At 39.7% G+C, this 12,715-nt stretch overlaps 1 protein-coding gene and 1 long non-coding RNA gene across 9 annotated transcripts in view; one reads left to right on the top strand and one right to left on the bottom strand.

Moving 5' to 3' along the window:
• The window catches only part of TNIK (TRAF2 and NCK interacting kinase), a 401,995-nt gene that overhangs the window by 329,871 nt on the left and 59,409 nt on the right, over positions 1-12,715 (top strand). For 4 of the 8 annotated variants that reach the window (NM_001161562.3, NM_001161561.3, NM_001161560.3 and 1 more), the window contains 3 exons: positions 1,660-1,824; positions 4,387-4,626; positions 6,836-6,942. In NM_001161562.3, the coding sequence (NP_001155034.1) occupies positions 1,660-1,824; positions 4,387-4,626; positions 6,836-6,942 (512 nt within the window). The remainder of the gene's footprint in view (positions 1-1,659; positions 1,825-4,386; positions 4,627-6,835; positions 6,943-12,715) is intronic. The other 4 variants (NM_001161566.3, NM_001161565.3, NM_001161564.3 and 1 more) reach the window with 1 other exon arrangement.
• The window catches only part of LOC105374216 (uncharacterized), a 59,021-nt gene that overhangs the window by 30,625 nt on the left and 15,681 nt on the right, over positions 1-12,715 (bottom strand). The gene's annotated exons all lie outside the window — the stretch shown is intronic.

Here is a 12,715-nt window from a genome sequence, read left to right as displayed (position 1 = left end):
AATGCAATAGCCAAATAATTATTGCTGATGTAATACTTCGCACACATGCACACACAAAGTACACATGTTCTGGTTTATATTCCTGGCTTTTTGCAGCAAATCTCATTTGGTGTGTGGTAAGCTTCTGGGACACGGGATTTCAAAACCAAAGCCAATTGTATGTACCCTGCACAGCCATGGTGGGGGAAGAGATGTTCAAATTACTCCTCACTAGAGGCAGGAGGGCTGTTTTTCATTCTGTAGCTTATCTTATTGTGTTAAAATATGTGAGGTTAGTATGAGTTTAAAAACAGACTTACTTTGTATATTTGATTGAGTCTGCCTCTAGAAAGATTCAAAATGGGATAGGGAGGATGGGGGAAAATAGCTCTTTCAAGTTTTTATTTCAAATCAGGCAGTAAAATGAATAAAGACTTTTAGCTGCTACATAAAAAATATGCAAACAGACATGAATATTGAACATCTGCACGTGGGTTCTTAAAATGCTCAGTGAGTCAGCAGAAGAGAATTAAGGGCTCACTGTAAAGGCCATCAGTGTGGGGAGAATGGTTGCATTGTCCTGGTGGCTTTGGGAAGCACAACAGTCAAGTTGGTCCTGAAGAAATAAAGGACAGGACACAGTAGATCTGGAAGAAAAGTCATAGGCTTCTTGAAGTTGTCTAAGATCTTAAGCCATATCTTAGAGTGCGCACCTTGTTTATCTAAGTTTCTCTTTAAAATTGCCCTCCGAGGCAGTCTTTCTGCTGTAAATATGTACTAAAGGTAATGATGACCTGTTTAGAAAGGGCATTCACTGGCTCAGCATTTCCCGTGAAGCCCTTGGGATCTGTTATCTGCTTTGGGCTGAAAGAGACCCTGGAAGAAAGGGAATGACAAGGAAATGAAACAGCCTGAGAGAAGACAGGGTTAGAGGGGAAGAGAAAGGAGGAGAAGCAAGAATGAACACCACATGTGTAGAAACAGGGAGGAAGAAAGGGGAGAGCAAGACAGTGGAGTCCAAGCTGGACATGAAAGAATGAGATGGGGCAGTGTATTTGAGGAAGCAGGAAAGACAACTGGAAAGAAAGACCCCTAAAGAGAGAAAAAGAAAGTGATACAGGAAGCCTATTTGAAACACGCCACGCGCATTAAGCAGGCAGCCTGGAACACCCACTTGTCTATCAGTAGGACACGTGAAGAAATGCAGGGTGCATGCACTCAGCTTCATCCTCTTGTTCTTCCTCTCATGTTCCATGAGTCAACCCAAAGCAATTTTCTATGTTCCCCAAGCCATCTAAATGCATGCTACCATTCCCTTTGATTGTCTAGAGTGCAAACTGTCTTCCTCACTGACCCCATGGCATTGCGACCAATCAGTAAGATAATATCACAATCAATACAAGATAAACTCTTAGCAGGTCACGAATTCCCTGCTAACCGAATAACACTAGATAATGGGTAATGGAAGAGTGATGGCTTGGGTGTTCTATTTTGTTGTTGCTGTTGCTAGTGTTTGCTCTTTGCAAACTCTTGATGCAGCACAGAGTTTTGTCTTCTTAAAATCAGTTGATCAGAGGATTCAAATGGCTGTGCAGGTGACTACAGAAAATCCTTGCTAGAAGGTGATCTACTTCTATACATTGAGGCTGTCTTTTTTTTTTTTTTTTTTTTGGGTTGTAGGTAGAAGAACGGTCAAGGCTCAACCGGCAAAGTTCCCCTGCCATGCCTCACAAGGTTGCCAACAGGATATCTGACCCCAACCTGCCCCCAAGGTCGGAGTCCTTCAGCATTAGTGGAGTTCAGCCTGCTCGAACACCCCCCATGCTCAGACCAGTCGATCCCCAGGTACAGTCTGCCTCCATTCCATCAGGCATTCCAATAAGTTGCACAAGAAAACCTATTATTAAAAGCCTAGGGAATTGTAACATGGATTCAGGCACAGGATCAAATTATGACCCTTAATATAGAATTTATAGTAAAATAGGTGGCCCCACTGATTTTTAAGAGTAGAAGAACAGGTGAGAAAGAAAAAAGCATCACCCTTAAACTTGAGTCAACCACAAACTCACTTCTATTTAAATTGGCCTCTCTGGGGACCCATAGGAGTTCCTGCAAGGTGAGAACAAGCATTCTTTTAGTTGCAATTGCCAAAACTAGAATTCATAGAAACTTTGAGGTGTGTGTATGTGTGTGCATTATATATTTTTTGTTTTCTTGGGACTTTGGCATGAGCCTGAAACTGAAAAAATTAAATAGACTTGGTTAAGTAAAATTACGTCTTCTAAGCCAGTGGTTCTCAAAGTGTAAATCACTGGACCAGCAGCATCAACCATCACCCAGGAACTTGATAGAAATGCAGATTATTGGGCCCACTTCAGACCAACTGATCAGCAACTCTGGGGGTGGGGGAGGCCTGGCAGTCTGTGATTTAACAAGACCTCTAAGTGATTCTAATGTACTTTAGAGTTTGAGAACAACTATTAAAAGCTATAGGGTAAAGAAAAAAGATTACTCCACTTTTAGGAAAGGAGGGGGTTTCTGGAAGTTCTGCAGGACTTTTAAGTTATATATGCCAAAAATGAAATATGAAGTGAAATAGATTAAGGAATTCCATGAAAAATAATGTAGTTTCTTCTGCCAAATGTCTTAAATTTCTTCCAGGCATCCACCTGTGTTAAGACTTCCACGAAATATTTTAAGGTCACCTTTGAAATATGTAATGCTGTTTGAACTGGAGTTTAAAAGAGTAGTGATAAAATCAAGTATTCTTTGTGTTTTCAGTTTGCCTTTAGTAAATAAAGTCCAAGATTTTTCAGCACCAGGCAGCTTGGCATATCTTCCTCTTGGCTGTTTTTAATTTGTATATAATTCTTTCATGCCTAACCCTCAAAAAGATACATTTTTTTACAGGAATTTCTATTTTAATGTACAAATATCCTCTTTTAAAACCCCTAACGTTGACCTTGGAAGGTACTTTGGCCTTTAAAAGGGGAGAAGAGAGGGAAAATGTACTTGATGAGAACAACCAGAGTGAAAATGTAGATATTTTGTGACAGTTAATTCACTTAAGCTTTCTTCAGGTGCTTCAGTTTGGGGGTTGTGTGGTGTGGTTTTTTTTATTTTTTTATTTTTTGGCTCTTTTAAAGTGGGTTTGTGTTTTATACTAGATATTTTTTTAAATGGGCTTTGTTTTAATATTATTATTTATTTAATGATATTTAACATTAATATAAATCCAGTAGGTTCTATTCTGGTTGAAGCTTAACATTCAGCTAAACTGGGCTTTGAAGATTTCCTCTGAACTGTCATTAATAACATTCCAGCACTTAAATTTAAAACCAAAGAGGATTTGACAGGTCCTTGCACAAAACAGATATTAAACTAATGTTTGTTGAATTAACAGTGTAATTTAGAAGGCACTGTAGATTTTTTCCCCAACCAGGATTTATGGGACACCTTCCCCATGCCAGGCACAGAGCTAGCCTAGGGGATATGACGATGAGCATGACAGACATAGTGCCTCTCTCTAGGGAGCTCACCTTCGTGAAGTAATAGGAGACACGCTTAGATAAGCACTAACTATGAGGTGTGAGCAGTGCTATGGCAAAGTGGTGCCCTGCACTCTGGATTTTAATGATTTGTCTTTAAGAGCCACAACTTCGCTGAAAGACTGCCTGTCTTCCCTGCGTGAACAGTATCACCACATGCCCAGTTGGCCTAGTTGAGATACTTAACTCAAAAAGTTACATCCTGGTGTCAAGAGATAATACGACAGCATAGATGGTAAGAGCCAGCACAGGAGAAAGTAGAATATCATAGAGGTTAGGTTTATGAGCTATGGGTGTAGAATGCCTGGTCCAGTCCATGCTCCAGCAGGTGTTATCTGTGCAATCTAGGGTATTGCTAAACCTCTCTACACCTTACATTGCTCCGGTGTAAAATGAGGGAAATGACTGTATCCACCTCAGGATGGACTCAGTGAGTTCATAACAAGTAAGATATTTAGAGCAGTTTTTGTTTTACAGAGCAACACCCTCTAATGTAAAAGTTAGGGGTTTTAAAGGAGGAATTTCATAATATTAGCAGAGAAGTGCTTATAAAATACATTGCATTGCTGGTCAATAAATATTCACTAAATATACAGTAGTTATTGTTATTATTTCACACATTCCACTGACTTAGCGTTCCCAAGTAAATCATTTAACTTTGTGCCAACCCTACATATCGTTCCAATGGAAAATTTTGAAGAGCTGTTAAAAAACATGCTATATATAGTTGTGATAGACTCTCTATAGTCCAATTTTTGTGCCCTTGAACTTTTTTTTTTTTTTCCTTCAGCTCACTGAGGTACTGGCTGATCTCTTTTTTCTTCTAATAGTGCTGTTTTCATGTTGTTTTGATGCTTAGATCCCACATCTGGTAGCTGTAAAATCCCAGGGACCTGCCTTGACCGCCTCCCAGTCAGTGCACGAGCAGCCCACAAAGGGCCTCTCTGGGTTTCAGGAGGCTCTGAACGTGACCTCCCACCGCGTGGAGATGCCACGCCAGAACTCAGATCCCACCTCGGAAAATCCTCCTCTCCCCACTCGCATTGAAAAGTTTGACCGAAGCTCTTGGTTACGACAGGAAGAAGACATTCCACCAAAGGTAATATTTACTGGGGTGTTTTTTTTAATCACCAGCATCACTGATGATTTTTATTACCACTATTCCAGACCTTTCGTAGTAGTGGAGAATGTGATCATGCCAAAGCACTTCCCCTTCTCATGTTTGTTTTGGTCCCTCTTCATTCCCTGGCTAAGACTTGGATTGCCATTTACCATGTCTGACCTTTATTTCCCCCGCAAGAAAACTGAAGTCAGGTAGATTGAAGCACAGATCCTACGTCCAAAGTTAGAACTCTCAACACCAAGTATTCCAAACTGTCATTTTGCTATCCATATTAACAAATAAAGTAATGGATATTTCATTGATGACTGAATCTACATCAAGACAATTGAAAACTTCCAGATAAAAAGTAGAAAATCCATGTATTCCTATTTTTAACAACACAAAAGTGAAGCCAGATTTCAGGGGTTCAGAAGATAGTATTGTTCTTAGGATATTTTAGTTGGCCCCATTTTAAGGAAAGCTCTTTCTAGGCCAAGTCATAATTTATTTCCATCTTTAATTAACTACTGAGGAAAAACCTTAGGGTAAAATGACCAGCCATTCCACTGGACAGAACAGCCCTGAGTTTGGGTTCTTTTGTTTTCCTATACCAAGTCATTACTCATTCCAAGAAATGTTCTAGAATGTGGCTGTGTGCATCTAGCTACAAACAACCTGGAAGTATTTCAAAATACTAGAGACATTTTTTGCATCGGATTCTTCCTGGCTCAGGAATCCCCCTTTTCCTGAGATTAGCATAGAGGCTGTGACAAATGGAATGTTCCACAATTTGCAGAAAATGCCACTGTTAATTCCAGAAGAAAAAGAAGCTTTTACTCAATTACAAATACATTTCCTCATCTTCCTCTTAAAAGGATATTATAACAAGAGTCCCATTATTTTGAAAATAAAAAAAGCTGATAATTTTTTGAGATTCTTTGTGGAAGCAGAAATGCCATCAGAAAAAAAAGGGTACATAGGGAGCAAAAGTCAATATGAAAAATAAAGTGGGCAAAGGAGCAGACACAATAGATGGAAAAGCTGAAAACTGAATTTATTGGTCCACTCTCTAAAAATACGCAGGCATACATGCATGAACCTGGGAGAAAATTTTAGATGAATTCAAAAACTTAGGTTTTAAGAATTCGTTAGGCTCTTCTGTCTCTACAACTATGTACATTTATGGTAAGGAAAAGAAAAAATAGTAATAATTAATTTGAACAGGTAGTAGCATTGATTTGGTCATTCTGCTTTACTTTACTGACTCATCTTTATGTTAAAATGAATAATAAAAATTAAATTTTCAAAACAAAGGATGACACTTTACACTGAAAGTAATTTTCTATACTAGGATTCATAATATGATTCTTTTAAATAACGGACTCCTTTGGTACACTTAAAATATTTAATTTCATTTTAAAATGTCTGTTTTATAAATTGGGACATACTTCAATTCTACCTTAGGTTTCTGCCAGATAAGCTAATAATACATTTTCCTCAAGTCTTATTGGTACTTACACAGCCTTTTTGAAGATCCTTCCAGTATTTTCAGTATTAATTCTGCTTTGTATTATGTTCTATTATGTTCACTAATTGACCAAGACACAGTGCTTTTGGTTTTTGGTTTTAGTAGGTAATTGCAAATCAATTAGAAAGTAGAAACATTCAAGATCTACTGTGGTAGGTTCTCTGAGCTCACCAACATATGACTTATGTCTTAAGCTCTATCCTGATATTCTAGTTTCTCACCAGATTTCATGATTTCCTTATCTGTTTATTGTGATGTAAGCTAAAAGTGGAACTTGCTTCATCTGGGTGGCTCTCAGCTGATGCAACTTCCAATGAGTTAATGATACCCTAAAGAAATTCCTGGTATTTACCACTTTTGCCCAACCAAGAGAGGTCAATTATTTTTAGCTCAGTGTATCAAAATTATTAGCTTTACCTATCTTTAAATTTGTTTTTAAGATTGAGGATGACCCTCTTTAATGGTTCCCAAATTTGCTCATTGTTTTTTGCCAGTAGACCTTTGTTTGATTTTGTTTAGGGAGTTTAATATTTCTTCGAGGAATGAATGAAAGATAGTTCTTTACTGTTTCGGATAGTTTCTGTGGCTTCTGGCAAATCATTGGAAAGGAGGATTTTCTGACAACAGGCTATGGAAGCTACTTTATGGAAAATATTTCTGAATTCTGGTTTCTTCCAGGTGCCTCAAAGAACAACTTCTATATCCCCAGCATTAGCCAGAAAGAATTCTCCTGGGAATGGTAGTGCTCTGGGACCCAGACTAGGATCTCAACCCATCAGAGCAAGGTAAGAAAGGAAGGTGGTTATGGTAAAAGAAGAAACTCCTACCCACCATTGTCATTATTGCTTTCCTAGAAATGCCTGTGTTCTTTTTTCTCTTCAGAGGCAGGTTGACTTTCCATGTGCACTATAAACGTTGATGGTCCAGAACACATGCCTTTTATTTCTTCAGTAGCTTTTCAGAGAAATCAGTATTCAGTGGGGGGCTCATGAATAAATTAATTAATGGGGCAACCCAGAAACCAATCAGATGTACCTTAGCGGACAGTTTTTAAAATCTGAGAGTAAAATTTGCAAATATGGATCTGGTTGCAATGCCCTAAAGCATTACTTCAGAGATCAGTTTAGAGTCAGCAGAACAAAATGACCTGTTATGGCCCATTTCGAGGTGATTTTTAGCATCAGGTCAAGAAACATGCCCTGGGAACCATTGAGACATTACAAAGCAATTACCATGGAAATAGTGACCATCTTCAGAGCTTCTCTAGCTTGGCAGTTATAGAAGAACTAGCTCTTACGAGGAAGTTGCCTCTTTGGCATTACAAAGGTCACTGAAATACAGTTATGCTTCCACTCTTGCTCTGTGTCCTCCTTCCAGAATTTCCTATCAATAATGTACATTCCTACAGTCAGAAAGTTGCATCCACTTCCACTGGTTGGTGTAGAGGTCTCAAGAAGCTGGAAAGTAAACAGTATCTTTAGTGTCTGAGCAAATTTTTTGTGGTAACAGATGCTGTTTGCTGTTATAGTTCATCAAGCTTCCCTCAGATTTTTCATGATGAATACATCACTTTTTAGGATCAACTGAAATAGCAAATGGCCTCTGCTAAGGCTATAAAAAGGATGTGATTGGGCAGGCTGTTTTCTTCTTCATTGTGTTCATAATAAAAGGACCCTCCTTTGCTAGTAAGAGAGAATGACTGGAAATGAAGCTTATGATTACATGCACATATCTTTAAAATATGGAATGCTTTAAATCATAAAGTTTTAATTTTCCTCTTCACATGAAAAGCCTTAGGGAAGGGGTCAGCCCAGCAATAACATGAAACTATACTAAGAACATGAATTCCTTTAGGGCAAAGATGCTAGCCCATTCTGTGTGGAATTACCAATTGCAAGAGGCTCTGAATGAGCCATTTTTTTTCCAGTGACTTGTCTGATTCACACTGAGCTGGTATTGCTAAGCAGCTAAGCAGCACTGAGGAAGACTAGAGCCACTGTGACCAGGCAGCCAAGGGAACGTTAGTGCTGGATCGCCAGCCTGAACTTTATCAGTGCCCCTCTTCAAGCAGTGATAAATCCCCAATTATCAGTGCTCCTGCTTCCTTTGAACCCTGCCCCCGGGGGCTCTGTTCATTGGATCGGTTGCTTAGAATTTTAGTTTCTTTAGATCAAGTATTATTTCAACTTTAAGTATTTTTCCTTCTGTCAACCAAAAAGAGAATTACCATCATATAGTCAAATAAAAAGCCATTTCCATTCCCTCTGAAGTGCTATTTTAGTGACATTAAGGCCTAAGATAATTGGTATTTGATGGTCAGTGGTTTACAAAATAATGAGCCTTTTCTCTTGGAACCACTTGGATATTATACTTTATCCAAAGAATGCTGACTTTGTGAGAGACAGCTAACATTTTTCTATTTAGAGAGGAAGGGAGGAAGTGAGTTAAGAGGTCATAGTTCCTTCCTATAATGAAAGACAGAGATTGGGGGTGGGGGGTGAAGAAGCCTCTTCTCTGCATGTAGGACAGTCCTACAGAACACCCCTTTTTATGCTATCATGTATCTCCATGTGGCCAGCATTTAAGGTGTAAATCAGATTTGCGGTTCTAGATTGGATTGCATTTTTAAAAGCTTCAAGATTTGTTTTATTTACAGTGAGAGCCACAGCTTTAGTTCACCTTTGCTGCACAATATAATCACCATAAGTTTAGTGACCTAAAAGAATAACAGTTTAATATTTCTCATGATGCTGTGGGTTGGCTAAGGAGTTCAGCTGCTCTCGCCTGGGCTCACTCGTGCAGTTGCACTGAGCAGATGGTTCTGCTGTACCTCTTGCTCCACGTGGTCTTCCATTCTGGGCTTCTTTACCCTTTGGTGATCTCAGAAGAGCATCTCAAGAGAGAAAGCTCCAATGCACTAGTACTTTTGAAGCCTTTGCTTGCATCATCTTTGCTGATAACCCATTAGCCATCACAAGTCACTTGGCTAAGCCCTGAGTCAGTATGGGAAGGAACTACACAGGGGCATGGACACTGGGAGATGTGATTTGCCAGGGGCCATTACTGTGACACAGACCTCTCCTACTCTCTGTTGGTCCTAATGAAGTCCGTATAGTTCTTTTTGTGCCATTTATCAGACAACCATCCATCCATAAAGCCACTTTAAAAGGTGTTGCTTTTAAATAACCTGTCCTTTACAGTGCTTCCAAGCTTTCCTGTACTTGGTCAATATTCTGTTTTTCCTCCTAGTCTTTTCTTTGAAGTGATTCCCAAGGGTGACTAGAAAATTAGCAAAGTTAAAATGGATGCAGTAAAAAGTACACAGCTAATAAGGGACAGATTCAGGATGTTTTGTTACTATCAGTTTTTAATTCATTTGCTAAGTTCAGCAAATATATACTGAAGCTGCATGTGGCCCTGGGACCCAGTGACTCAAACCAAAACCGCCTGACTCCAGGGCGCAGGGGTCGTAATATACCTGCTGCTCTCTGGGACTACGGGTACTAGTAGGGGCAAAATTATATTTCTTGCCTCACTTTCTTATTTTGCTTTGAATTAACTAAAAGAGGCAGAACCTCTCTCTTCTTCTGTGGCAAACTTAGGGACCACAATTTTAAGACAACAGTGTCTCAACCCAGAAGGAACCTGGACCCCCAAGTCACCACTTAGAGAACCATCAAGGAGACCAGTTCTACCTCTGTATATTATGATGTGAGTGAGAAATAAACCACTGTTGTGCTAAATCAATTTTTTAAAAAAAGAGGCCGGGCGCGGTGGCTCACACCTGTAATCCCAGCACTTTGGGAGGCCGAGACAGGTGGATCACGAGGTCAGGAGATCGAGACCATCCTGGCTAACACGGTGAAACCCCGTCTCTACTAAAAATACAAAAATTAGTCGAGCATGGTGGCAGGCGCCTGTAGTCCCAGCTACTTGGGAGGCTGAGGCAGGAGAATGGCGCGAATCCGGGAAGCGGAGCTTGCAGTGAGCCGAGATCACACCCCTGCACTCCAGCCTGGGCAACAGAGCAAGACTCCATCTCAAAAAAAAAAAAAAAGAAAGAAAAAAGAAAAACAAGGCAGAGCCTAACGGTTAAGCAAAAACGGTCAGTTTTTGCTTCCTGCACTTAGTAGTAATGAACTCCAGTTACTAAGTGCAAGATGTTTTCTAGTAACTGCAGAATGTTTGATGTTTTTTGATCATTTGGGACACATATGTTTAAATCAGTAAACTATTTAGTACCCTGAAGAGAAGACTCTTGAATTAAAATGATCAGTATGCAACGGTATACCTGTAACTTGAGGACAAAAGTAAAGCTTTTACTATTTTGAATATCCTTCCTTCTCCCCCAAATAACTCCCTATTATGTCACTCTTCCACTGTCTGTATGCACCATACCAAATCCAAAAGAGCCCTATGGAGAACACTTTTTTTATATACTTTAAGTTTTAGGGTACATGTGCACAACGTGCAGGTTTGTTACATATGTATACATGTGCCATGTTGGTGTGCTGCACCCATTAACTCATCATTTACATTAGCTATATCTCCTAATGCTATCCCTCCTCCCTCCCCCCAACCCCACAACAGGCCCCGGTATGTGATGTTCCCCTTACTGTGTCCATGTGTTCTCATTGTTCAATTCCCACCTATGAGTGAGAACATGCAGTGTTTGTTTTTTTTTGTCCTTGCGATAGTTTGCTGAGAATGATGGTTTCCAGCTTCATACATGTCCCTACAAAGGACATGAACTTATCATTTTTTATGGCTGCATAGTATTCCATGGTGTATATGTGCCACATTTTCTTAATCCAGTCTATCATTGTTGGACATTTGGGTTGGTTCCAAGTCTTTGTCATTGTGAATAGTGCCTCAATAAACATACGTGTGCATGTGTGCTGCTTTATAGCAGCATGATTTATAATCCTTTGGGTATATACCCAGTAATGGGATGGCTGGGTCAAATGGTATTTCTAGTTCTAGATCCCTGAGGAATCGCCACACTGTCTTCCACAATGGTTGAACTAGTTTACAGTCCCACCAACAGTGTAAAAGTGTTCCTATTTCTCCACATCCTCTCCAGGACGTGTTGTTTCCTGACTTTTTAATGATCGCCATTCACTGGTGTGAGATGGTATCTCATTGTGGTTTTGATTTGCATTTCTCTGATGGCCAGTGATGATGATGCATTTTTTCATGTGTCTTTTGGCTGCATAAATATCTTCTTTTGAGAAGTGTCTGTTCATATCCTTTGCCCACTTGTTGATGGGGTTGTTTTTTTCTTATAAATTTGTTTGAGTTCTTTGTAGATTCTGGATATTAGCCCTTTGTCAGATAAGTAGATTGCAAAAATTTTCTCCCATTCTGTTCACTCTGGTTGGCTGTTCACTCTGATGGTAGTTTCTTTTGCTGTGCAGAAGCTCTTTAGTTTAATTAGATCCCATTTGTCAATTTTGGCTTTTGTTGCCATTGCTTTGGGTGTTTTAGACATGAAGTCCTTGTCCATGCCTATGTCCTGAATGGTATTGCCTAGGTTTTATTCTAGGGTTTTTATGGTTTTAGGTCTAACATTTAAGTCTTTAATCCATCTTGAATTAATTTTTGTATAAGGTGTAAGGAAGGGATCCAGTTTCAGCTTTCTACATATGGCTAGCCAGTTTTCCCAGCACCATTTATTAAATAGGGAATCCTTTCCCCATTGCTTGTTTTTGTCAGGTTTATCAAAGATCAGATAGTTATAGATATGTGGCATCATTTCTGAGGGCTCTGTTCTGTTCCATTGGTCTATATCTCTGTTTTGGTACCAGTACCATGCTGTTTTGGTTACTGTAGCCTTGTAGTATAGTTTGAAGTCAGGTAGCATGATGCCTCCAGCTTTGTTCTTTTGGCTTAGGATTGACTTGGCAATGTGAGCTCTTTTTTGGTTCCATATGAACTTTAAAGTAGTTTTTTCCAATTCTGTGAAGAAAGTCATTGGTAGCTTGATGGGGATGGCATTGAATCTATAAATTACCTTGGGCAGTATGGCCATTTTCACGATATTGATTCTTCCTATCCATGAGCATGAAATGCTCTTCCATTTCTTTGTATCCTCTTTTATTTCGTTGAGCAGTGGTTTGTAGTTCTCCTTGAAGAGGTCCTTCACGTCCCTTGTAAGTTGGATTCCTAGGTATTTTATTCTCTTTGAAGCAATTGTGAATGGGAGTTCACTCATGATTTGTCTCTCTGTCTGTTATTGGTGTATAAGAATGTTTGTGATTTTTGCACATTGATTTTGTATCCTGAGACTTTGCTGAAGTTGCTTATCAGCTTAAGGAGATTTGGGGCTGAGACGATGGGGCTTTCTAGATATACAATCATGTCATCTGCAAACAGGGACAATTTGACTTCCTCTTATCCTAATTTTTTTTTGAGACGGAGTCTTGCTCTGTCACCCAGGCTGGAGTGCAGTGGCGCGATCGTGGCTCACTGCAACCTCCACCTCCCAGGTTCAGGCGATTCTCCTGCATCAGCCTCCCAAGTAGCTGGGACTACAGGGGCCCACCACCAAGCCCAGCT

This window comes from Homo sapiens, chromosome 3 (genome assembly GCF_000001405.40).
Source record: "Homo sapiens chromosome 3, GRCh38.p14 Primary Assembly".
Lineage (NCBI taxonomy): Eukaryota > Metazoa > Chordata > Mammalia > Primates > Hominidae > Homo > Homo sapiens.
Note: the sequence above shows the minus strand (reverse complement) of the source record. Positions and strands in the feature narration are given on the sequence as shown.